The sequence below is a fragment of the Homo sapiens genome, chromosome 10 (assembly GCF_000001405.40).
Source record: "Homo sapiens chromosome 10, GRCh38.p14 Primary Assembly".
In the NCBI taxonomy this organism is placed as follows: domain Eukaryota; kingdom Metazoa; phylum Chordata; class Mammalia; order Primates; family Hominidae; genus Homo; species Homo sapiens.
The window spans coordinates 60,009,876-60,036,379 of NC_000010.11; the positions used below are offsets into that span (position 1 = coordinate 60,009,876).

Here is a 26,504-nt window from a genome sequence, read left to right on the forward strand (position 1 = left end):
GGACTGAAGTGGAGGGAAGCCAGAGTGGGTGTCCCCAGGCCTCTGCAGCAGCCTGTAGCATCCTAGAGCGTGAAAGGTTGTCATGAGCCTCCCACCTGCATGCACCACTACCCATAAGCCAGAGAGACCCAAGCAAGGCATTTTCCTCTGCTTTACCTCTAAGCATAATCCACCACCACTACCAGTAATAAAAAGCAGGTAACATTTATGGAGCACACTTACTCTGTGCCAGATATTTTTGAAGTGCTTTATATGGATGATCTCATCTTCACCATCTGTGGTTGGTAAAACTATCACCCCCATTTGCCAGATGAAGAAACATAACGGTTATGTAAATTGCCCTAGGTCATATAACTAGTACAGCAGGATATAAACTACATAAAATCATGTATGCACATGAAGCTCTGTTTTCCTTGTCCTTGAAATCTAAAAATTGGGACTGTTTTGAATATTAGTCTTACTCCAGCTGAATGGTCATAAATGCAATCTGGAAGGTTATAGAGAATAGGCCTTACATTGCACTCAAGTGCTTACTGTGATCCACATGGAATCATTCCCCACCCCACCCAAGAAAAACAGGAATAGTGATGGCTTCTCTACTCTGTTCAGCTCATTCTATTTAGTCCCTCACATATGATAGATTTTCCTTTTGAACTCTTGGGGCTGCCCATGCCATTGCTCTCACTGTTGCTGAGGAGCTTCTGCCCTCTATGGACTCCTTCATTTCTTTCCATCCCGATTCCTCCATCTCTGCTACACACCCACTCCTTTTTCTTCAAGGTCCAGCACCTGTTAACATTTAGCCTTTTTTGCACTGTCAAAAGTAACCAGCTTTGCAGTATTATGACAAAAAGGTTTCTGGCCCTTTCTTTGCTTGTAGTCACATGACAAATGTTCTCTTTAGTACAACTAGTTTAAAAGGGCACAGACCAAGAAGACATTGAGCAATTCTCCCAACACACACACACACACACACACACACACACACACACACACACACACACAGAATCATACAAATAACTGAGAGGGAAATTACAGAAACGAAATGTAGTTGTCTTGGTATCGGTGTGGGATTGGTTCCAGGACCCTTTGTGGATACCAAAATCCACAGATGTTCAAGTCCCTTATATAAAGTGATGTAGTATATACATATAATCTATGCATATCCTCTTATATAGAGGCATCCCTCAGAGATATTGCAGGGTTGGTTCTAGACCACTGTAATACAAATATCACAGTAAGTGAGTCGCACAAATTTTTTTGGTTTCCCAGTGCATATAAAAGTTACTTTTATGCTATACTGTAGTCTATTAACTGTGCAATAGCATAATGTCTAAAAGAGTGCATACCTTAATTAAAAAATACTGCTAAAAATACTAACAATCATCTGAGCCTTCAGTGAGTCATAATCTTTTTGCCTCAGTGTTGATGGCTGCTGACTGATCAGAGTGTGGCTGCTGAAGATTGGGGTGGCTGTGGCAATTTCTTAAAATAAGACAGTAATGAAGATTGCTGTATTGATTCACTCTTCCTTTCATGAAAGTTTCTCGGCCAGGCATGGTGGCTCACTCCTGTAATCCCAGCACTTTGGGAGGCCGAGGCGGGCGGATCACCTGAGGTCAGGAGTTCAAGACCAGCCTGATAAACATGGAGAAACCCCAACTCTACTAAAAATACAAAATTAGCTGGGCGTGGTGGCACATGCCTGTAATCCCAGCTACTTGGGAGGCTGAGGCAGGAGAATTGCTTGAACCTTAGAGGTGGAGGTTGTGATGAGCCGAGATCGTGCCATTGCACTCCAGCCTGGGCAACAAGAGCGAAACTCCATCTCAAAAAAAAAAAAAAAAGGAAAGTTTCTCTGCAGCATATGATGCTATTTGATAGATTTTTCCCACAGAACTTCTTTCAAAATTGGAGTCAGTCCTCTCTAATGCTGCCACTGCATTATCACCTAAAGTTTATGTAATATTCTAGATCCTTTGTCAGTTCAACAATGTTCACAGCATTTTACCAGTAGAATCCATCCCAGGAAAACCATTAAAAAGTTTTTTTTGCTCATCCATGAAAAGTAACTTCTCATCTGCTCAAGTTTTATCATGAGATTGCAGAAATTCAGTCACATCTTTATGCTCTACTTCTAACTCTAGTCCTCTTGCTAATTCCACCACATCTGCAGTTACTTCCTCCACTGAAGTCTTGAATCCTCATAGTCATCCATGAGGACTGGAGTCACCTTCTTCCAAACTTCTGTTAATGCTGCTATTTTGACCTCCCATGAATCATGAATGTTCTTAATGGCATCTAGAATGGTGAATCCTTTCCAGAAGGCATTCAATTTACTTTGCCCACATCCATCAGAGGAATCATTATCTATGGCAGCTGCAGCCTTATGAAGTATATTTCTTAAATAACAGGACTTGAAAGTTTAAGTTACTCTTTGATCCTTGGGCTGCAGAATGGATATTGTGTTAGGCATGAAAACAACATTAATCTCCTTGTACATCTCCATCAGAGCTCATGTGTGATGAGGTGCATTGTCAATGAGCAGTAATATTTTGAAAAAAATATTCTGAGCTGTGGGTCTAAACAGTGAGCTTAAAATGTTCAGTAAATTATGCTGTAAAAAGATATGCTTCATCCAGGCTTTGTTGTTCCATGTATAGAGCACCAGGAAGAGTAGATTTAGCATGATTCTTTTTTATTTTATTTTTTTTGAGATGGAGTCTCACTCTGTCACCTAGGCTGGAGTGCTGTGGTATGATCCTGGCTCACTGCAACCTCCACCTCCCAGGTTCAAGTGATTCTCATGCTTCAGCCTCCCGAGTAGCTGAGATTACAGGCACTTGCCACCACGCCTGGCTAATTTTTGTATTTTTAGCATAAACGGGTTTTCTCCATGTTGACCAGGCTGATCTTGAACTCCCGATCTCAAGTGACCTGCCTGCCTCAGCCTCCCAAAGTGCTGGGATTACAGGCGTGAGCGACCACACTCAGACTATTTAGCATGATTCTTAAGGGCCCTAGGATTTTTGGAATGGAAAATCAGCATTGGCTTCAACTTAAAGTCCCAAGTTGCATTAGCCCCCAACAAGAGAGCCATCCTGTCTTTCGAAGCTTTGAAGCCAGGCATTGACTTCTCCTCTTTAACTATGAAAATCCTAAATGCCTATTCTCCCAATATAAGGCTGTTCTGTCTACACTGAAAGTTTGTTGTTTAGTGTAGCCATCTTCATCAATGATTTTAACTGGATCTTCTAGATAACTTGCTGCAGCTTCCACATCAGCACTTGCTGCTTCGCTTTGCATTTTTGTTATGGAGACAGCTTTTTTCCTTAAACCTCAGGATTCCACCTCTGCTAACTACCAACTTTTCTTTTGTGGATTTCTCACCTCTCTCAACCTTCATAGAATTGAAGAGAGTTAGGGCCTTGCTCTGGAATAGGCTTTGGCTTAAAGGAATATCGTGGCTTCTTTGATCTTCTATCTAGACCACTAAAATTTTATCCATATCAGCAATAACGCTGTTTCACTTTCTTATCATTTTTCTGTTCACTGGAGGAGCACTTTTAATTTCTTCAAGGACTTTTCCTTTATATTCACAACTTGGCTAATTGCTTGGTGCAAGAGTCCTAGCTTTCAGATTATACTGGCTTTGGACATGCCTTACTTACTAAGCATAATTATTTCTAGCTTTTGATTTCCAGTGAGAGACATACAGCTCTTCCTTTTACTTGAACATTCAGAAGCCATTGAAGGGTTATTAATTAGCCTAATTTCAATATCATTGTGTCTCAGGGAACAGGGAGGCCCAAGGAGAGGGAGAGATATGGGGAACAGCTGATCAGTGGAACAGTCAGAACACAAAACATTTATCAATTAAGTTTACTGTCTTACATAAGAGTGGTTCATGGCACCCCAAAACAATTAAAATAGTAACATCAAAGATCATTTAATACAGATCACAGTAACAGATATAATAATAATGAAAAAGTTTGAAATATTGCAAGAACTACCAAAATGTGACACCAAGACATGAAGTGAGTGTGTACTGTTGGACAAATGGTGCTGATAAGCTTGCTAAATGCAGGGTTGCCACAAACCTTCAATTTTTTTTTTCTGAAGAGGAGTGTATGCAAAGCACAATAATATGAAGTATGCTTGCTGTATTAGTCAAGATTCTTTAGAGGGACAGAATTAGTAGGATATATATATATATATATATATATATATATATATATATATAAAGGGGAGTTTATTAAGTAGTATTAACTCTCACAATCACAAGGTCCTACAATAGACCATCTGCAAGCTGAGGAGCAGGAAAGCCAGTCCCAGTCCCAAAGCTGAAGAACTTGAAGTCCAATGTTTGAGGGCAGGATGCAGCCAGCACAGGAGAAAGATATAGGCTGGGAGGCTAAGCCAGTCTAGCCTTTTCACGTTTATTTTCTGCCTGCTTTATATTCTAGCCTTGGTGGCAGCTGATTAGACGGTGCCCACCCAGATTAAGGGTGGGTCTACCTTTCCCAGCCCAGTGACTCAAATGTTAATCTCTTTTGGCAACACCCTCACAGACACACCCAGGATCAATACTTTGCATCCTTCCATCCAATCAAGTTGACACTCAGTATTAACCATCACACTTGTGCTTTAAATAATCGCTAGGGCCTGTAATCCCAGCACTTTGGGAGACCGAGATGGGCAGATTGCCTGAGGTCAGGAGTTTAAGACCAGTCTGGCCAACATGGTGAAACCCCGTTTCTACTAAAAGTACAAAAAAAATTAGCTGGGCGTGGTGGCGTGCACCTGTAATCCCAGCTACTCGGGAGGCTGAAGCAGGGGAATTGCTTGAACGAGGGAGGTGGAGGTTGCAGTGAGCCAAGATCACTCCACTACACTCTAGCCTGGGCAACAGAGTGAGACTCCATCTCAAAAAAAATCTCTAGGTTAGATATAATACCTAATACAATGTAAATGCTATGTAAATAGTTGTTGTTCTGTATTGTTTAGAGAATAATTGACACAAAAAAAGTCTATAATTGTTCAATACAGGCGCAGCCATCTTTTTTTTTTTGAGACGGAGTCTTCCTCTGTCGCCCAGGCTGGAGTGTAGTGGCATGATCTCCGCTCACTGCAACCTCCGCTTCCCAGGTTCAAGCGATTCTCCTGCCTCAGCCTCCTGAGTAGCTGGGATTACAGGTGTGTACCACCATACCCAGCTGATTTTTGTATTTTTAGTAGAGATGGAGTTTCACCATGTTGGCCAGGCTGGTCTCGAACTCCTAACCGCAGGTGATCCACCCGCCTTGGCCTCCTAAAGTGCTGGGATTACAGGCGTGAGCCACTGTGCCTGGCCGCAACCACCCATTTTGTTAAAGACATTTTTGATCCATGCTTGGTTGAATCCACAGATGCAGAACACGTGGACTGGAGGGCCTGGTGTAGTCATGATGCTAGTAGGATTTTAGGTGGCTTTTTTCTTCTTTCAAAATATCCTTGATATTGTTATATTATTTCACTGGTAAAATATTAAGTATATTAAATCTATACACGTTTATTTGATTCATACTGGCCAGCTTTAATATATTCTATTTTATCCATTTCTTCTTTTCAAGTCCCTTCTGTCCCAGGATTTTCCCAGATGTCTGTGCAAATGGAAAACTAGGTTGATTTTGTTAAGTATCAATGACTTTCAAATGCAGTAAAGATGAATTGGGGATTTAAAAAATACATATTTCCATTTAAAGTCATTTTGAAACCAACCCAATTGCCCCATGGACTGTTCTATTTGATAATCATAGAAATTGACCCTTCTGGTCTTAAAAAGCCTGAAACTTACATTTGTTTTATCTGAGTTCATTCCTCAGGAAATGACCTTTAGGCCTCTCAGAAAAGTATGAAAGAACTGAAATCAGATCACCACACCAGATGCCGACCCCTAATTCCCCAAGATTGCTTCCTTGCCTCTCCCAGGTTCCTGTTTTCTTACACATTTTTATCTCTCTTGCCTGCCAAATGAACACCTGGTTTTAGTCAGGGAGATGGATTTGAGACTGAGCTCCCATCTCCTTGGCTGCAGCACCTGATTAAAGCCTTCTTCCTTGGCAATACTCGGCATCATAGTGATTGGCTTTCTGTGCAGCGAGCAGCAGGACCAAGACCGAACCCCTGGTTTTTCAGTAACAGGTTCTTCTACTCAGTATGAACACAGTAACCAGAAAAGATTTTCTCTGCTTTTACTGAAAGAATATTAAAATATTTCCTATATTTATAAATTAGATACTAGAAGACTTGAATGTGGAGAGGGAAGAAGAGTGGCCTGAATGCCAGACCCTACCACCCTGTGCCAAACACATCCTGGGATTAATGGAAAATCACTAAGATGGCCACAATTTCTTAGTATAGAATTTTTCCCTTACTCATCATGTAAAATACAACTGTAAACATAGGGCTTATGGGTCTCCTTGCTTGGAGATTCTGTCTTAATGGGCCTTGTATAGGCCCCAGAAATGATATTTTTGACAGGTACACTCCAGGTGATTCTTACGTCAGGGAACATTAGTAAATACTAATGTGACAAAAATAGCTACTATTTACTTGGTACTATTTTGTTCTAGGTATGATAAGTATTTTACAAGAATTATTTCATTTAAGCCTTATAACAATCCTCTTGATTTGAAATTATAAATTTTTTTTGCATTTAAAATTGACATGACAGTTTCAACTCTTCTTACACAGAAGCATTTATTTTGTTATTGTAGTAAAAGTTAGGGCAATTGTTTATAAGGTAGGGAAGTCCCTCATAATGCTGATATTTTAACTCCAATTTATGCCCAACCTACTCTTCTTTATCCTTCCTTGACTTTTTTCAGAGTGGCCTTCAGATTGGTGGTTTCTGAATAATTTCTAGTTCTCAGAAACTTTAATGGTTTCATCCTAATAAATGTATCCCATGTCCAAACCAATGGTACAAAAATTTCCCACTTAAAAAGGTCTTAAGAGTTACTAGAGAATGGAAAACCAGCCCTTGCTTTCCTGAGCCTTTGCATGTATTGGGAAAGTAGTTATTTAAAAAAATCTAATTATGGGTATGCATCTAGTTATGTATGACTGTACTAATAGCACTGGATCCGCCCAACTCTGCCACTGACTTGCTATGTGACTCCTGACACTCTTTGGTTTCTGCCCTGTCTACCTCCTAGGATGGTGAAATCAAACAAAAAAATGGCTGATAAAGAGGAGACAGAAGAAAGGAAGTGTATTATTACTGTTCGTAGAATTTTCTTTGGCCATATACAGTCTTCCCACCATATCCGTGGGCTGCACATCCACGAATCCAACCAACTGTAGATCAGAAATATTTTTTTGGGAAAAAAAAAACTGGATGGTTGCATCTGTCCTGAACATGTGTAGGCTTTTTTCTTGTCATTCACTAACTAGTACAGTATAACTATTTACATGACATGTACATTGTATTAGGTATTATAAGTAATCTAGAAATGATTTAAAGTATATAGGAGGGTGTGCATAGGTTATATGCAAATACTATGCCATTTTATATCAGGGACTTGAGCATCTGTGGATTTTGTTATCTCCTGGGGGTCCTGGAACAAATCCCCTATGGATTCTGAGGGATGACTGTATTAATAAAAGGAAGTGTATTTTGCAACAAAGTATGCTATGTTCAAAGAATTGGTTGAGCATACAGTAGGATGATAATCAGACAGTTGAAACACTGGGAGTGAGCTGTCATGGGGTAGGATGGGTAGTCCTCACATTTCATAGAGTATTTAGTACAGCAGAACAAATAAGGCATGATCACTTATCTTGAAGAGCTCACAATTAATAGAGAGGGCAGAGAGAAGGAAGAGATAGGAGAATAAACAATGCTGTTAAGCCACAGGGCAAGGAGAGGGAATCTAGAGAGGGGAGAATCTAAGTACTGCCAAAAGTACTCTTGTGAGGGAGCAGATTTTGGAACTGAGTTCCATCTCAGTTCCTGAGATCATTCCAGAATCACATTTTCTGAGAGGGTTTTAACAAAATATTTTAAAGGACCAGTGTGAGCCACATAAAGAATGAAAGATAATTGAGGGCCTACAGTTAGTAATAAACCCCAGTAGCTGCAATCTACTGAATGCTTCCTTTGTGTCAGGAACTTTGCCAATCATTTAACCTGCATCATTCAGTCTAATTCTCTGTATAATCCAGTGAAGTATGGATTATTGACCTATTACATGGATGAGGAAACTGAGGCTCAGAGAAATTAAGTGACATGTCAAAGGTCTTACCGCTAAGTTTTATATGATATTCAAAGGAGTTCATTCTTCAGAAGTAATATGATTAGAGGTTTTAAAAGAAATATATGCTCATGACCAAGCACGGTGGCTCACACCTGCAATCCCAGCACTTTTTTTTTTTTTTTTTTTTTGAGACAGAGTCTCGCTCTGTCGCCTAGGCTGGAGTGCAGTGGCATGATCTTGGCTCACTGCAACCTCTGCCTCCTGGGTTCAAGTGATTCTTCTGCCTCAGCCTCCCCAGTAGCTGGGACTATAGGCATGCATCACCACGCCTGGCCAATGTTTGTATTTTTACAAATACGAAATTATGGAGTTTCACCATATTGGCCAGGCTAGTCTTGAACTCCTGACCTTGTGATCCACCCACCTCAGCCTCCCAAAGTGCTGGGATTACAGGCGTGAGCCACCACACCCAGCCAATCCCAGCACTTTGGGAGGCCAAGGCAGGTGGATCACTTGAGATCAGGAGTTCAAGACCAGCCTGGGCAACATGGTGAAACCCCATCTCTCCTAAAAAAATACAAAAATTAGCTGGGCATTGTGGTGGGCGCCTATAATCCTAGCTACTCAGGAGGCTAAGGCAGGGAGAATTGCATGAACCTGGGAGGCAGAGGTTGCAGCAAGCCGAGATTGTGCCACTGCACTCCAGCCTGGGTGACAGAGCGAGACTCCGTCTCAAAAAAAAAAAAAAAAAAAAAAGCTATATTCAATTGTCAGAGGTAGAAATACCAGTTAGGAGGTTATTGCAGTTACTCAGATGAGAACTTAGGACCTAAGGTAGGGCTGTATGAATGGCGACAATTGAAGAGACTAGGAGATATGATGGACATGTTTTTGAACTGGATGGAGTAGCAGGGGGATTACCTGAGTGTTTCTCAAGTGTCTGACCTGGGCAAGAGATGGATGGTGATGCCATTCACAGAGAAGAGTATCTGAGCTGACTTCTTTTGAGGGGATGGGCATGTATTCATTTCTGGATATGAGGAGTTTGAAGAGCCTGTGGGGTATCTGAGTGGAGAGACCTTGAAGGCTGCTGATACATGAGTTCTGGAGCTTAGGGCAGAGATATGGTGGGGGGAGATAAAGACTAGGAATTGTCAGCACATTAATATTTACTAAAGTTTTGGGAATGGATAAGATCACTCAGAGTTTTGGTCTATCCCAATGGTAAAAGGATGGGTAGGAGAAGAGGATCTCGTTGGGACCAACTAATCAGGAGCACCTAGAGAAGTAGCAGGAGACCCAGCAAGAGGACTCTGAGGGAAGACAAAGGAAGAGAGAAGATGCTCAACAGGCTGAATGTTTAAAGGATACAAAATTGCAGCTAGAGGAGAAATGAGAAATAAGTTCTAGTGTTCTATACCACCGTAGGGTGACTATAGTTAACAATAATATATAGTTTCAAATAGGAGGATATTAAACTTTCACAACACCAAAAAATGACAAATATTTGAGATGATGTATATGATAACGACACTAATCGATCACTACATTATATGTATGAAAACATTGCTCTGTACCCTATGAATGCGTACAATTATTTGTCAGTTAAAATACACTTTAAAAATTCCTCTTAAATAAAAGATAAGGGCCAACGAGTCCTCATAACATTTTGATTTGCAGTCACAAAGACCTCAGGTGAATCCAGCTGGAGCGAGATACCTTTTTGCACCATCCCCTATACATGACTCTTTAGGTTCATCCATAAACCAAGTGGGAGGCAGTAGGGTGTGGTGCAATATGTGAATTCTAGTCTTGATTCTACCACAAGCTGTCTGTGAGACCTTGAAAGAGTCATTTAACTTCTCTGGGCCTTAGTTTGCTCATGTTGCCTCATGTCAGTCAGTCAACAATTAGGATTTCATAAGTAGTTGTTTCTTGTTCTGCAGTTGATCTTGATTAGCTTTTAAATCATGCAAATGACACACTCATCCAATGGCTTCTTTATTCTTATTCAACTGGCTTTAGAAAATGCATTTGGTGAAAACTATGCTTCACTTACTTGGGAGAGGGATGAGAAATTGCTTTGTTAAGGTTACGTGAAGATGGATTCCTATGGTACATGTCCAGAAAGATAGGTTTTCAAGCCCAGGTATATCTCCCACTTAACTCAGAAACACTTTTCAAATATGGACTCAGGTTCCCAAGCCTTAGAGTCTTGCATGGCGAGCCCAGTGTGTAATAGAGCCTTGCAGTCATTGAGCAGCTACTTTTTGCAAACATGCTGATGCGAGCAAATGCACACAAGATATGATTGATGAAGATGGCTGCTGAAAGCCGTGCCTACAATTCTTGTGATGTCTCTTAACGGTAAGTCACTCTTTTCCATCTTTGTTCCTCCTTTCTCCTCAAATTATGATCAAAACAAATTTTGCTCACACTTCTTTGGATGGCTTTATGCCTTCTAGCCTCTTATTCCTTTTGCCTAGACCTCCTTTCTTCACATATTAAAGTCATACTTGCTTCTCAAGTTCCAACTCAAATGCTGCTCTTCCACTAAGCATTCATTCATTAAACTAGTATTTACTGTGTGTCTAATATGTGCAAGGCTCTCTGCTAGGCCATTTCCAGTTCACTTCGTCAACCAATCCTGAGATCATTATGAAAATGGAATAATACTATTAACAATCATAACAGCCAACACATGTGGCACTTACTGTTTTGTGCTTTATACTAATATATGTTGTAATATTTTCTTGAGAAGAAAATGGTACAGAATTACAGGCTGGTACAAGTTCTTGATCTTGTTACTGGTTGATGCTCTGCATAGCACGGCTCTAGCCACACCAGCTTCTTCTTTCTGTTTCTCAAAAAATGTCAAGGGCCTTCTTTTCTCATCCTGTCTCATTTGTACTTATTGGCAGAGGGCTGCCAGGGAAGCTCCATCTCAGCTTCCAAATGTCACGCTCTCTATGCCTTCTTTGCATACCCTCTCTAGAGTATCTTGATTCCCCCCAATTATTCCGTCACATCACCATTTTTATTACCTTCATAGCATCTGCCACTATAATTACCTTGTTTATTTGTACACTTGTTTATTGTCCTTCTTATTCATTGCTGTATCCATAGCATTTAGCACAAGGCCTGGCACTAGTAGTCATGCAAACATTTATTGAATAAATAAATGAGGGATGAAGGGAAGCACAAATAAGTATAGCTTTGGATCAGTATCTTGTGAATGCTGTGAATGTCAAGGAAAACCACTCACATCTTCAGTGACTCACTGTAAGGTATCAAAACTTCAGTTTGCCTTTGAGGGTTGCTGTGCTTCCACCCCCAGTGAAGTCTTGCTGAGAAGAGCTTTATAACAACTCCCCCACCACAGTATTTCATGAGACTTCTGTTACTGTCAGGTGTCATCATAGTGTTTTTCCATTTTGTGCCAAGGACATGTGATGGGAAGGTTGTTAAAGTCATCTGGTATGTGTCATGGCATCAGATCTTTAGATGACTCTTTGAATCACCCAAGTACGCACAGCCTCTGCTAAATTGGTGTTAGAAAAATGAGCCATCTTTCTGGCTGAAATGAAAATCTTCCTGGTTAAACAATAACAGAAAAGAACTGTTCAGGCAGCCTGAGTGGCTACGTTCTATAATGGCTGCAACTCTTCTAACCCTAGTGGGGCAAAATGGTAGCTGCAATCTAAACTCTTTTGGCTTTACAATGGTCAAAAATCAAGTGCCACAGGGCCTTGTGCAAGGCATGATAGAATAGTAGAGACTGTAGAAAACTTGAGAGCACATGCTCCAACCAAAAACAGTGCTTAGTTAGCTCTAACAAAATACTGCAATGCAGGAATTCAGGCCTAGATTTGTCAGCTCTTCTGATTTTTCAAGAGAAGCTTGGAATCTGCATGAGGGGATGAAAGTGGGACATGGATGTATGGTGGGTATGGCTGTAAATCAAATTCAGCTCAAGTGGTATTTATTTAGTTTATACTGTGTCCAAGTCACCGCTCTAGACATATGTATGTATCAGGAATAAAAAGGAATAAGAGCTGAGACCCATGGACTCAAAAAAGCTTTATTCTAGTCATAAAACCAAGATATGTTCTGAAATAAATACAACGTAAGACTATATGGGGAGCACTATGTATTACATAAGTTAACATACTGTATTTTTTAGATCAGCTGAACTAAGGAATATGCTTAGTAATGCAGTCAATTTACATTCTGGCTCAGGTTTCTTGTCTCATTGCAGACAGGTAACAAGGGCTTCTCAGACTAAGCCCAGTCCATGGGCTACACTTTATCACTGGTCTAAAGTGTAATGAGAGAAAGAGATAAGGTGGCATGAGATGTGGTTATACAGGTAGGCAGGGAACCATACAAAGCCCAAATGGACTGGTGAAGTCTTCACTAAGAAGGCAATAAAATGTGAGTAAAAAAGCTTAAGTGACTCCTTGAGATCCTTAGAGTTCCAGGGTTTGAAATGGCGCATAGAGAAAAACCAAGCTGTATTGAGGTGGGGATAAGGGGTAGTCTGTGAATCCGACTCAGGAGTTATTTGCTTATGCACACTAGTCTCACAGGGTGTGATCAAAAATCATACATTAATAAATTTGTGTAGCATGATCTAAGAACGTGTCCATTTTGCAAATGCCAAGAGCTAGTGGCAGAGCTTGAAAACGGTGACCCACAGGCATGTTTCATTTGGCCCATACAATATTCTTAGGGAAAAAAAATTAGTTGCCAATATTTAGAAAACTTCAAAATCTGGCAGAGCTGGGCTTATATTCCCACAAGGCAGCCTCATTAGAAGAGGAATTTGCTTACCCAATACCCATCAGCCCTTAATGTCTTATACCTGACTTGTATATTAATTGGGGCAGTGGTTATGCCACAGTAACAAATGACTAAAACATCTCTGGCTTACTAGAAAGGTTTATTTCTTGCTCACATTGCTTATCTATGGTGGGTTGACTGTGGTTCTGCTCCACATCATCTTCACCCCAGCAGCAGAGCAGGGAGCAGTCTCTCTGGAGCATCACTGGAGTGAGGAAAGGGTACATTAACAAAAATACACTATCTCCTGAAGTATCTGCTGTTATTTCATTGCCCAAAGCAAGTTCCATGGCAAGGGTGAAGGCATTGGGGCTGGGAAGTGTAATCCACCCTCAGGGAGAGGCAGCTATTATTTATGTACAATAGTCTACAACAACCCCTTTGCTTAGATGACCTGCCTAGTCTCCACAGACACTTCAGTGTGACCACTCTGGCCTAAGGAACTTGAGAATCTAGTGTTATCATGGCCAGAAGCATGAGGGCTACTCTAAAGCTTACAATGCTACAGCTGTCACCACTACATCTGTTTTATTTTATTATTCTTTAGAGCCACATGTTCTTAAATAGGCTAATATTTCATAGGCTTTTCCCTAGATATTCTTTACTTATTTCAGGCTCCACCTGGGCAAGGCACACTATGATAGCAGTGTCAGAAAGCCAGGCTGTGTGATAGCTCTAGCTCCACTCTTCACTGCACTTAAGCACTGGCTTCCAGTGGGTGGGGTGTGCGCCCAGACTGAGCTATCAGATGTGTATTGCAGCATAGCTGAAGTCTAAGGCTTTACCATAAAGAACAGTTAAATGATTAGGCATGTGAAGCTCAACATTACAAACCGTCTGTATACCCAGCTCTGCTCATGGAAATGTGGAAAGCACAAGGCTTGTTGGAGAGCAAGGGGACTACCAGAGGATGTAGAGTTGAGTGCCACATTGTGAGGTATTCCTTTAGTTTACCAGTTGCCAGTGTGGACTGGCATCGGCAGGGACAGACTCTGTGAAGTGGTCTGATTTATGTAGGAGTTGACATATGGAAGGAGAACATCGTGCATGAGTTCAAAGTTACAACTGGTTTCACCTAAATTCAGAATCTCTGGAAGTCAAATGAGCTTATACAGTATTATAGAGTTGGTTAGCTACCTTTAAAATGTTTTTAAAGTTTTCTATTGAAATATTTTTGTCAGGCCTTGAGTCCCACTTAATTCTGACTAGCAGGCAGAATATGGAAGTGCAGTGGGGCTGGGCGGCTCACACCTGTAATCCCAATGCTTTGGGAGGCCGAGGCGGGCAGATCACCCGAGGTCAGGAGTTCGAGACCAGCCTGGCCTACATGGTGAAACCCCGTGTCTACTAAAAATACAAAAAAAATTAGCCGGGCATGGTGGCGAGTGCCTGTAATCTCATCTGCTTGGGAGGCTGAGGCAGGAAAATCGCTTGAACCCAGGAGGCGGAGGTTGCAGTGAGCCGAGATCACACCATTGCACTCCAGCCTGGGTGACAAGAGTGAAACTCCATCTCAAAAAAAGAGAAAGTGCATTGGTTACACTCAGCAGCCACAGGGCTGTTCCTCCCCATTCTACATGTCTTCTCACGTTCTTCAGCATGCACTCCCTATGATGTGCTGCGGTAGTTTTATTTCCACAAGTAATTCTACAGTTTCCTGTCCTGAGGAGCCCTAATTTAGATTTCACACAGAGGCTGGTGGTATTCTCCTCACTTTGACGGGAGTGGGTAGGGAACTGATGTATCCTGTGCCTGGGAGAGCACCTGGAAGGTGGTAGGCACTGAGTACATGTTGTGAAATGAGAAGAATGATTGGAGGGATGCATAGGTTTGGAGAACCACATGATCCATCTTTGTCTTCTCAGTTACATGCTCCTTTATTCCATCCTCCTCTTACTGGCATTGAGAGAGACGGGATGAAAATGAGGTAGATATCTGGCTTGCCAGAAAGAAGGATTTTAAACAGAATAGCATTCGTTTGCCTTCTTTTCCTTCCTCTAATGATATTAAACAGAGATGTGGGATAGAAATGAATAAAGTAAGTTGGATTTTAGAGGAAACAGGGAAAGGAAGAGGAGCTGTGGTGAATGGTGAAACACATTTACTCAGCAACACCAAGGTGGAGGCAACCAAACTAACTTTGTTATAGACAGGAAGGTTCATGATGGGTTCTCCACACTCTTGCCTGGTTTCTCAGTGGCCAGTCAGTGATTAGGATGAGCACCATAGCCCGTGGCCACAGGAAGGATGGCCACTTCAGCAGCATGACTGTGTGCTCTTTGCTCATGAGGTATTGGAACATCCATACCCCAATTACTAAGGACTCTTTGGCTAAGAAGGAGGTTGTGCAACTGGAATGGACCAGTGGAGGTTGGTGACACAAGTTAGTCCTTGGTGAATGAAGTCATTAGAATCAAAAGCTGTGCTTTCCTTCAATTTCCAAGTTGGTTGAGCCTGTAAAGAAAATGGTATAGAGTAACATTCCCTATTTACTGCTCCTTGCCCTCTGATGTTTGCTGACTCATTCATTCTTGCACTCAACAACTATTTCTTGAGCACTCATAAGGTGGCAAGCACCATCCTAGGTACTATAGATATAGCATAGAACAAAACAAAGTCCCTGTCCCCAGGGAGTGTACAGTCTAGTATGAAGACCTGGTGACATACGTCATGTGACAGAACATTTTTGAAAAGCTGGCAAGCCATCATTCTATCCCAGCTCTCAGAATTATGCCAATGGTTGAATTAGATGACAAAGGAGAAGCGGTAATTGAGGATGTTGGGGGAAATCAGGCAGGGAGATCACGTTTTTTGGGACATCAGAGTTCCATGGTGGTCCTAGAAAAAAAGTCCTCATAGGTATTGCCTCTGGTGTGCTTCCTGTGGCATTCTAAGGTGGTTCTTCTCACTGCCTTAGAATCCTCTGAGCATGTTCATCTCAACTTTGCTATGGAAAGCTTTTGGAATTGGTGAGGAGTCTCAGGATGTCCAGTTGGAAATGCAACCCTCAGGGCGTTTTACTCCCTAACTCAGGAAGCACTAGGGGCTGAAGAGTAAAAATTCTTCACTTCATGTTCACCTACTTGTACATATCATATGTAGCTAACAATGAATAAGTGCAGCAGATATAATGGTAAATTTCATTTTGCTCTATTTTTGAACTATCTGCATTTCATTCTATTAAAGAAATGAAAGCTGTTGGGCTTGTTACTAAGGATACTTATCAGAATCCGCTCTATTATTTAATTTTTGTATTGGTACATGTTTAGCCAGGTAACCGTGTAAAGAAATTACACCACTGCCTTCCACCTCTTATTAAAAGAACTCTTGAAAAGTTTGGTTCAAATCTCAATCTTGTAAATGTTTACTTCTGGACAATTTGATCAATTCATGAAACAGAAGCAGTGTGATATGCCTGGGAAATTACACACCTTGTAATATGTCACAGCCTCTTCAAGCAAATCAAGAATACCAAGACTCACTCAGATATGAAGTTAGTTTTTGGATCACTGGCTTCTTCAGAGAGACTCAGAAGATGCCTTATTATTTTTGTGATTTATTTCTGGGCTTCTCACATATCCCTGTCATACAGCCAAACGTGAGCTGATGCTGACAATAGTTTATTGGCCATGGAGAAAATCCTCAGTCTTGATGGAACTCCAGGATGATACCAAATGAACAGCGAGGAACATCAGGATGCCAAAAAGTCCTTATTTACAGAGGAAAGGAGGCTAGCTGCTTATGTGTTCAATGAAGTAATAGATGCCTCTTAAAGTATTGAAATAATACTGCATAGTGTATTGCCATAATTTGGCAATACAGTGATAGCACATTTTAATTTAACAAATTCAATAATTTAGTAAGAATATAAAATGAAAAAAACAGCAAATATCCAGAACTTCTCAATCATAATTCATTTTTTACAGTAATGTCAATCAATGAAAAGCTTAAATACATATTTATAAGCTGGCAGGCCAAATATTATGTTAGAAATACATAATGTCACATTCAATCTACATATACATGTATAAATATATGCATATACACACATATGCAAGTTAAATCTTGAATGTCATATTTTGGATACTTCTGAGTAAACTTATGACCTCCTGCTTGATCGGAACCAAAGCATATCACATATACCTAAAGTCAAATTTTTGGGCATATAAACACAACTATTTAATACCTAAACAGGTATACATCATTGAGTTTCTGGTTCAGGATAAACACCTTCTCTCAAAGACTGAGTCAGAAATTCGTAACTCTTAGATAGGAAGTTAGGACACCTATATTCTGATCCTGGCTTTACAGAGAGGCATTTTGGGAAAGTTTTTTTTTTTTTTTTTTTTTAAAAAAAAAACCTCTCAAGGGTCTAACTTTACCCATCATAAAATAATTTTGGTGCAAGGGTAGTGGCACATTTTATTTATTTGGGATACCATGCAGATGCAACCTAGCCCCATTCTTTATGCAAAGTAGATTATCCGTGCATTTCTTCTGCATTGATAGTGAATCCTTACTGGGGACAACTCACTCCATTTGGCAACAATCTTTAATGGACAGGCAATATATAACATTGCTGAAAGTCTCTTAGCACTAATTTAATTTTATAAAAGGATCATTACCATCAAAGAAAGACAGTACCTAATTCATAAAGTAGATATGAGGACTAAGTAAGTAAATGGAATGTGCTTAGAACAGAGAATAGCATGTAGTGAGCACTCCAGTTTTAGTGATGATGATCACAGTTACTACTATCACTACTACCATATGCTAAGCTGGTAACTAGAATAAAAGTTAAAACAGCCATGGTCTCTGCCTCAGTAGAATTTAGATTCACGCAGTGTATGGGTTGCAAATTCACAGTCAGGTTGTACAAATATAAGAAATGAGGCTGTGGCAGTGATACCTGTAGACCCCACACCTGGCTGGAGAGGGCAGGGACAACTTGGCTCTAGCAGGTTGTTACCTTCTGGGAATGAGGTCCATTGTTGCCAAATCTTGCTTTTTAAGAGATGTTAGCAACTTAATTATGTGAAATGTCCCAACTTGTAAGAATGGACAATAAATGTAAATTAATAAAACAAAACAAAAACAAGCTCTGTGGGCTAAAAGCAACTGCATGTTGATGGTTCCTAGAAGTGCCAGTCAACTTTTTGACATGCTGGCTATAGTATCTCCAATTCTTCACTTTTCAAGAAGGCCTGAACAGATGTGGGCAAAGCTTACTTGTCAATTAATCTTTAATTCTTGGCTCCCCCATGAAATGCACAGAATTTATAAGCTGGGAGCTTGCAGGGCACATATGAATGTTAGAGATTATCTCTTCAGTGACCACAGAGGCACAAAGAGGACCAATGGGGTGGATTGGCCAGGACTCATATGACAAGGGATTAGACAACTACCTTTTGCCAGAAAACACAAGGAGACTGTAGAGCACAGATAGGTGAAGAGTTTAACACAATTTATTTTATGCTTAAATAATCGACTAGGTCATCCAGTGTATGGTTTTTCATACATATGTCATTAGAGCTATGTGTCAATGAATGCTGATTTTATGTGAATATAATCAACAAATTAAAGAATTTCACCAAAACCCAAATAAAAATGCCCTTTAAAACACAGCAGCCTTATTAACCTAATATGACACTGCTAGAATGGTTACAAATGATTGGCTTACTGAAAGGTGTCTACATCTTATAGCCAGTACACAATACAGTAATAATTTTACAGCGTGCTGCCATTCTACTAGCTAAGGATTTCTGTTCAGTCCTTTTTAAATACCCCCGACTGGGGCCTTTTATGAGCACCATCCACCTCTAAAGCGGCAAGCATTTACCCCCTTTTAAGCACTAACAGATAGCATCCCCCCACCCCCTAAAGCAACTACCGTATAGGTTATTTTTTTTTGTTGTTTTTAGGTCATTTCATTGAAAAATTGGCAATAGCAACAAATATTAGATGAAGGGCTTTGTGTTTACAGATAAAATCTTTTGTGTTGCAGTATACTGTAGTGTTTGCAAAATTGGAAAAGATTTAATCAAAATAAGGTGATACACATGCATCAAAATATTAGTATTCTGAAGAAAAAAATTTTTCACAGAACTACAGAATTCCTCATTTTGGGAATTATTTAAATTTGCAGCAGATTTTAAAGATTTGTTTTTTTTTAAAATCAAGCTAGCAGTTTTGCATATACAAACATTATAATTGCTAATATACAAGAATCAGTGAAGAGTCACCCCCACCCAGAATCCCTCCCTCCTCTTCTAGGGTGAAGTCACTTGAGACCCCTATTTGTTAAATGCATTTGCAATATTCTGTTTGTGTTCTAAGAGGCAGTGCCTTATCAACATTTTATTCTATTTTTCTGTTAGAATTTATACAGTGTTATTATTTACAGCAAAACTATCGATGTTTTAAAAAAGAAACAAATAGTGTTTATACCCTGACAGTTTGGGTCCAAGAAAAATAAGGCGAGCTGTTGTAGATTTAGTAATTTTAGTGTTTCTCTGTGATTTGATCATTCCATCTCCTTCTGTCCCTTCTGATGGCAGGAATTTCTTCCTTTTGTAAATGACACCAAATTACTTGAGATAAACTGTTAACAGCATGGCTTCTTGTATATACACTGCATTGCTAATTGCACACGCGCCAATCCGGAAATGAAAGTGATTTCCATGCTCTGTAAATTGGCTCATGCTAAATTAAAATGTGGGTGGTTTTCTTTTCTTTTCTTTTTGCATAAAAAAAATCATGCCATTAATGTGTGGAAGCAGCGAACACACACACACTTCTCGGTGAATTTTTACTTCCTGCTGACATTTCTTCCACGAATTTCTCAATACTGGCAGTAAAAACTTATGATCCTGTGGAAAGAGACAGTAGATAGTGAGTTTAGCTTTCTTTTTCTTTTTCTTTTTTTTTTTTTTTTTTTTTTTTTTTTTTAAGACAACTAGTGTAAGCCTTACTTGCCATTCAATAGAAAAGTCTTAGGGAATAGAGGCCCTCCATTCCCTATGGGGTGGTTTAACATGATGCTGCTACCTGCTAGATGCCTTAGAGGACAAGGCCCTAAGGTGTACTGGAAAGCTCTTAGAAGGCAGTGAGCTTTTCTAGGTGACCTCCAGAGAGCCTTGCTTATTATTGTATCTGTGTTTTGTAATTGCACCAGACCACCTGGTTCAACTTTTTTTCTTTTTTGAGACGGAGTCTTGCTCTGTTGCCCAGGCTGGAGTGCAGTGGCCCGAAATTGGCTCACTGCAAGCTCTGCCTCCTGGGTTCACACCATTCTCCTGCCTCAGCCTCCCGAGTAGCTGGGACTACAGGTGCCCACCACCACGCCTGGCTAATTTTTTGTATTTTTAGTAGAGACGGGGTTTCACTATGTTAGTCAGGATGGTCTCGATCTCCTGACCTCGTGAGCCGCCCACCTTGGCCTCCCAAAGTGCTGGGATTACAGGCATGAGCCACCACGCCCGGCCCTCAACTTTTATGTAACAAAGTTGTGAGTTGTTTTTGAGTTGCCATGGACACCCCCAGGATGAAGGTCACATAATGTGAGCATGCCCAGATGAACTAAATATGCAACCATAGGAGGAACCTAAGTTCTCAGGCTGGGGAGCTAATTAAGAAGCTTATGTCTCATGGCAGGATCCAGTCAGATAGAGCCTTGGCGTCACCCCATTGCAGGATCCAGTCAGATCATGCCTCATTACCCTATGCTTCTGAAACATGACCCAGCCCCCAGCTTGGAGAGACAGATTTGAGTGGTTCCTCCTGTCTCCTTGTCAGTCAAGTGGCAATACACCTTTCTCCTGCAAAAACCTGGTGCTTTGGTGTTTGGTGTTCGACTGTCCATTGTGCACGGGCAAACACCCAGTTTGGTTTGGTGACAGTTTTAGACTGTGTTGGGAAGACCCTCTTCTAGTTCTGTCTGAAGCTCAGGTTATTCAGCTGCTTGGGGAAGCCATTTGTAGCCCTTTGGGCCTTAGTCTTATCTGTGAAATGAGGTGGCTGAGAGAGGTAATCTCTGAGACTTCCCTAAATATCAAAATGTAAGAAGTTTGGGACTTCCATGAGCAGAAAGGGCCAGAGATAAGGAGTCAGGATAGAGCATCTCAGCTATTTCTGAATGCTTTGTAAGTAAGTCTCTCACTTCTCCAAAAATTCAACTAATCTTTCAAAAGGAAGAAAAGCGTCATTACTTCATTACAATGAAATTTCTTTTCCATAACCAAATTAAAATTAGAGACAAACTTCTACCACTGCAAAGAACTTTCGCTTTTCCTGTCCATGTCAGTCATAATGGGATGAATTAATTGTATTTGAGCTTTTTAGTGGAGGCTCCACTGAGAATGTCTTGTCTTGCTGGAAGATTCCTGCATAAAGCATCTGTGTTTTATAACCAGTCTTACTGTGTCAAAATAAATCATTCTTTGGCAGAGGTTTTCATACTTTTGTGTGCTATTGTGGTATGAATTTGCCTTTTCCATAAAACAAAGTTCTTCCCATATATTGTCTCTCCTCCTTGTTTAGTGTGAAAAGCTGACAAACTTGCATGCCTACCTGCCTGAGAACAAGATACAGCTCCTATAGAAATCCTGAGTAAGGCAAGAACAATTTTAAGAATAACCCTGCTCACTCCCATATAAACAACAGACTATATTTGCAGATCTAGGACAACCTTTAGAATTCGACTTCTCTTGGGGCCCAGGAGTTCCAGTGACCTTGAAGATGTTTACTTACCTCAGACAAGTATCTTCCTCTTTAGATGGGTCACCTAGGACAGCCTGGCTTATGGAAACATGTTGGTAGAGCACTTCCTCTCTCTGCCCCCCTACAGGACCTGGCTTCCTTTTTAGTATTAAAAGTGCTACTGACCTCCATGCCCCAGGTCACTAATGCTTGGAGCCAAGAACATGAAAGTATCAATTCCTCCTATGTGATTTCAACACCCCTCCCCTGTGACTCTGCTGAGGTTCCAAAGAAGGAAAGTGACTCACTTGGGTAGATCATCTTGCAGAGGGTGGGCAAATCAGAAGATGATGATCAGGATTTTCTCACCTGTTTTTATCATTTAATCCTAATCTTGTAGGCACCAGGCTTCTTAGATGGTCCTATGATAATGTTACTACAGTCTCACTCCCTGCTTTCTCTAAACCCCTCCCCCTGACTTTTTGAAGCTTGATATATAATTTGTATATCATACTTCAGCTATTATAAATACACAGCTTCTTTTTTTTTTTTTTTTTTTTTTTTTGAGACGAAGTCTCACTCTGTCGCCCAGGCTGGAATGGAATGGAATGGCATGATCACGGCTAACTGCAACCTCCGCCTCCCGGGTTCAAGCAATTCTCCTGTCTCAGTCTCCCGAGTAGCTGGGATTATAGGTGTGTGCCACCAAGTCTGGCTAATTTTTTGTATTTTTAGTAGAGATGGAGTTTCACCATGTTGGCCAGGCTAGTCTTGTACTCCTGACCTCAAGTGATCCACCTGCCTCGGCCTCCCAAAGTGCTGGGATTATAGACATGAGCCACTGCGCCTGGCCTGGCTTGATAATTTTTAATATTTATGTAGATGTGTGATCATCACTACTTTTCTCCATGTCTCCTAAAAACCAATCCAACTTCCCAGGTTAATTTCGTAATGAGTAGCAAGGCCTTTCTCTTCTCACCTCAATCCAAGCAAATGTTATCTTTCTGGATATATTGGATATGTTTCTATCATTTAAAAAAATGCTGTGAATTATGCCCACTTATATTCCAGTGAGGATGTTTTGGGTGATTTTTTTTAAGTGGGAGTTAGTTCCTCTTATAACTTTTTCTTTTCTTGGTTATGCAATCAGAGCCTGTTGGCCCCAACCACACTGGGTACAGGAAGGTCATTCATTGGACAAAAGACTTTACACCAAGTACAATGTTGCATAAAAAGCATGAGAACCTTGGCTAAGTGACTGTGTACTTGCTATAAAAATATTGACACTTGGTATAAACTGTGATGACAGCGCCATCTGATGGGAAGGTGTGAGGGCAGAAGCCATCAAGATGACATTTCAGAAATAGAATTTTGACTCATCTCCCTTTTCTGGTTTAGATAATGGATATGAGATAGATGCAGTTGCACTTAGGAATCTGTCTTGCTTTGGGTTTTGTATGCCTTTCAAACCTAAAGGTGGGAGAAACTAAATCAGAAAACCAATCATTCCTTTTAGCCATTTCACTGTATTTTTAAGAAACATTTTAAAATATACGAAAACAGGGCCACGCACGGTGGCTCACGTCTGTAATCCCAGCACTTTGGGAGGCCAAGCCGGGGGCAGGGGAGGGGGGCGGATCACCTGAGATCAGGAGTTCAAGACCAGCCTGGACAACATGGTGAAACCCAGCCTCTACTAAAAATACAAAAATTGGCCGGGTGAGGTGGCAGGCACCTATAATCCCAACTACTCAGGAGGCTGAGGCAGGAGAATTGCTTGAACCCAGGAGGCGGAGGTTGCAGTGAGCTGAAATCGGGCCATCACACTCCAGCCTGGACAACATAGCGAGACTCAGTCTCAAAAAAAAAAAAAAAAAAAAAAAAACTTGGAAACAGCAATTCATTGGATTTTCATGGCAGCTGATACTTTACAGTTAAATATGTACTGCATACATCACATCTTCAAGTCAGCAGCATGCTCTGGTACAGAACTGACTTGTTTTTTATAGGCAAATGGACATACCTGTGGATTTTAGACCCTAATGCCTAGCTTTAAAAAGGGTCTCCTATCTTTAGTTTGGCATCTGAAGCTCTCTGGTCCAGCCCAATGAACCTTTTTTAGGCTTAATTCCCACTGTCCCTCACTGAAAAGCTGTTTTGCAATCTCCAGTGGTTCTCAAACTTGGTTGCACATTAGACTTACCTGGGAAGATTAAAACAACAACAATATCCAGGCCACATCCCATACCAGTTTATATAGAAGTTTTCGGGATGGGGCCAGCATCAAAAATTTTTTAAAACTCGATAATTTGAGAGCCAGTCAAATGTTCTGGAACAGTGCTTCTCAAAGTTTAATCTGCATTACACAGGAGTCTTTGAGTATAGATTCTGATTCAGTAGGTCAGTGTGTCTGAAATTCTGTTTTTGTTTTTTTTTTTGTTTTGTTTTTTGGTTTTTTTTTTTTTTTTTTGAGACAGAGTCTTGCTCTGTCGCCCATGCTGGAATGCAAAGGCATGATCTTGGCTCACTGCAACCTCCACCTCCCGGGCTCCAGTGATTCCCCTGCCTCAGCTTCCTGAGTAGCTGGGATTAAAGGCGCCCACCACCATGCCTGGCTAATTTTTTGCATTTTTGGTACAGATGGGGTTTCACCACGCTGGCCAGGGTGGTCTTGAACTCCTGACCGCAGGTGATCTGCCCGCCTCAACCTCCCAAAGTGCTGGGATTACAGGCGTGTCACCATGCCCAGCCTGAAATTCTGTGTTTCTAACAGACTTTTAGGCATGCTGATACTGTGGTCCACAGACTTCACTTTGAGGATCTAGATTACATGCCAGGTATCAACTACAAATTGTTTTCCAACTTCATTGTCTTTGCTCATGATTTTGTATCCACCTATACTTGCCTTCTCTGATTATCATCTGTGGCTAATTCCTCTTCTACCCTTCAAATTTGTTTCAAATGCCACCTCCTTGAAAGTTCAGATTTCTTTCCCTAATGAAATCCACCTTTGTAGTTCAACTCTTACTCATCTTTAAGACTTAGCTGTGTCATGGCTTAAGGAAAGCCTGAGCCCACTGAGGACAAAGAGGTCTTTACTCTAGTTCTTTGTTTCTCTCCCTACCCACCTCTCTCTTTCCCTTCTTTTCTCTTTTTCCTTCTCTGTAGTTACAGAAATCATGGACTAAGACTTTTTTCTAAACATTAATTTTAATTACTTTATGTAACTAAAATACACTACAGTGCAGTTTTAAAGTAATTCCCAATTCAGGTAGCTTTGTTTCTTCACTAATACCAATAAGTAGGGCTTTTTTGATTGTTCTTTTCTGTTCACTTGTGATTAAAAAGTATCTTAAGTCAAAGGGCTGGAAAAAAATACTGGAAAACTGTTCATTCGTGTTTTAGCAGTGAAAGAAAAACCTAACAGTAATAAAATTTTATTACTGTTATTATTTTTATTAGGTAAAGATATTTATTCTAAACTGTTCTAAAGTGGATTAGCTAATTTAATCCGAATAACCCTGAGGTACTATTATTTTTTCCATTTTGTAGATAAATAAAAGCTTTGTGGCTCTATTTTCTTATTTATTTTTTAATTAATTTAGTTCTTTCCAGATGGAGTCTTGCTCTGTCGCCCAGGCTGGAGTACAGTGGTACGATCTTGGCTTGCTGCAACCTCTGCCTCCTAGGTTCAAGCGATTCTCCTGCCTCAGCCTCCTGAGTAGCTGGGACCACAGGCATGTGCCACCATGCCTGGCTAATTTTTATCTTTTTAGTAGAAATGGGTGGGGTTTCACCATGTTGGCCAGGCTGGTCTCTAACTTCTGACCTCAGGTGATCCACCTGCCTTGGCCTCCCGAAGTGCTGGGATTACAGGTGTGAGCCACTGCGCCCGGCCAAAAAGAGAGCCACAAAGCTTTTAAATAGTGAGCTCAAGGTTACACAGCTAATATATAGTGGAGCCAGAACTGGAAATCAAGCCACCTGCCTCTAGCTCTTATCTTGAAGCCAAGGCTTTTGTTAACAGGAATTTTTTAAGGGTAAGAAAAAAAAGGCGGGGTGCGGTGGCTCACACCTATAATCCCAGCACTTTGGGATGCTGAGGCAGGCAGATTACCTGAGGTCGGGAGTTTGAGACCAGCCTGACCAACATGGAGAAACCCCATCGCTACTAAAAATACAAAATTAGCTGGGCTAATTTTATTTCTTAAAATAAAAAATATTATATATTTTTAAGAAAAATAAAAAATACATAATATAAAAACATATTTACTCTATATGAATTCCGGTAAAATATTCTGGAGGGCAGGGTCCTGAATTTGTAGTGAAGCAATTCAGCCCATAGCTCTGACTTCTGAGAATCAGAATCAGGAAATCCAGACCTGTCATTAACTGCACTCAGCCTTAGAGATTTTGCTCTCTCTTTGTCACTGTTCATTGCTTAGTAAAGAGGAATAAGGATACCTGTTGTACTAACTTCCTAGGGCTACTGTGAAAAACAAGTGATGTGAAATAGTGGAAACTTTTCTGAAGTGTAAACCACCATCACATGCAGAGGATTTCAGACACTGCTGTTCTCACTTCTCCCACTGTTATATTCTAGCCATCACTGGCTGCTGCTGCTTAGTCCACCAGCCTCTGTAATCCAAAGCTCTTCAAGGTTCTATTCTTGGTTTTTTTAATACTAGTAGCAATAGCTGACGCTTATTGAGTGCTTACTAAGGA

At 40.7% G+C, this 26,504-nt stretch overlaps 1 protein-coding gene across 5 annotated transcripts in view, besides 2 other annotated features; it reads right to left on the reverse strand.

The window, feature by feature from the left end:
- Positions 16,423–26,504, reverse strand: part of ANK3 (ankyrin 3) — a 707,231-nt gene continuing 697,149 nt past the window's right edge. For all 5 annotated transcript variants that reach the window (NM_001204403.2, NM_001204404.2, NM_001320874.2 and 2 more), the window contains one exon: positions 16,423–19,951. The gene's annotated coding sequence lies outside the window, so the exon portion shown is untranslated. The remainder of the gene's footprint in view (positions 19,952–26,504) is intronic.
- Positions 18,625–19,126: an enhancer, noted in NCBI's record as "NANOG hESC enhancer chr10:61788258-61788759 (GRCh37/hg19 assembly coordinates)". NCBI's record gives its function as "activates a minimal SCP1, AML or CMV promoter by ChIP-STARR-seq in primed H9 embryonic stem cells {active_cell/tissue: H9 hESC(primed)}" and the evidence as "EXISTENCE:reporter gene assay evidence [ECO:0000049][PMID:30033119]".
- Positions 21,753–21,862: an enhancer, noted in NCBI's record as "active region_3392". NCBI's record gives its function as "activates an Ori minimal core promoter by ATAC-STARR-seq in GM12878 lymphoblastoid cells {active_cell/tissue: GM12878}" and the evidence as "EXISTENCE:reporter gene assay evidence [ECO:0000049][PMID:35858748]".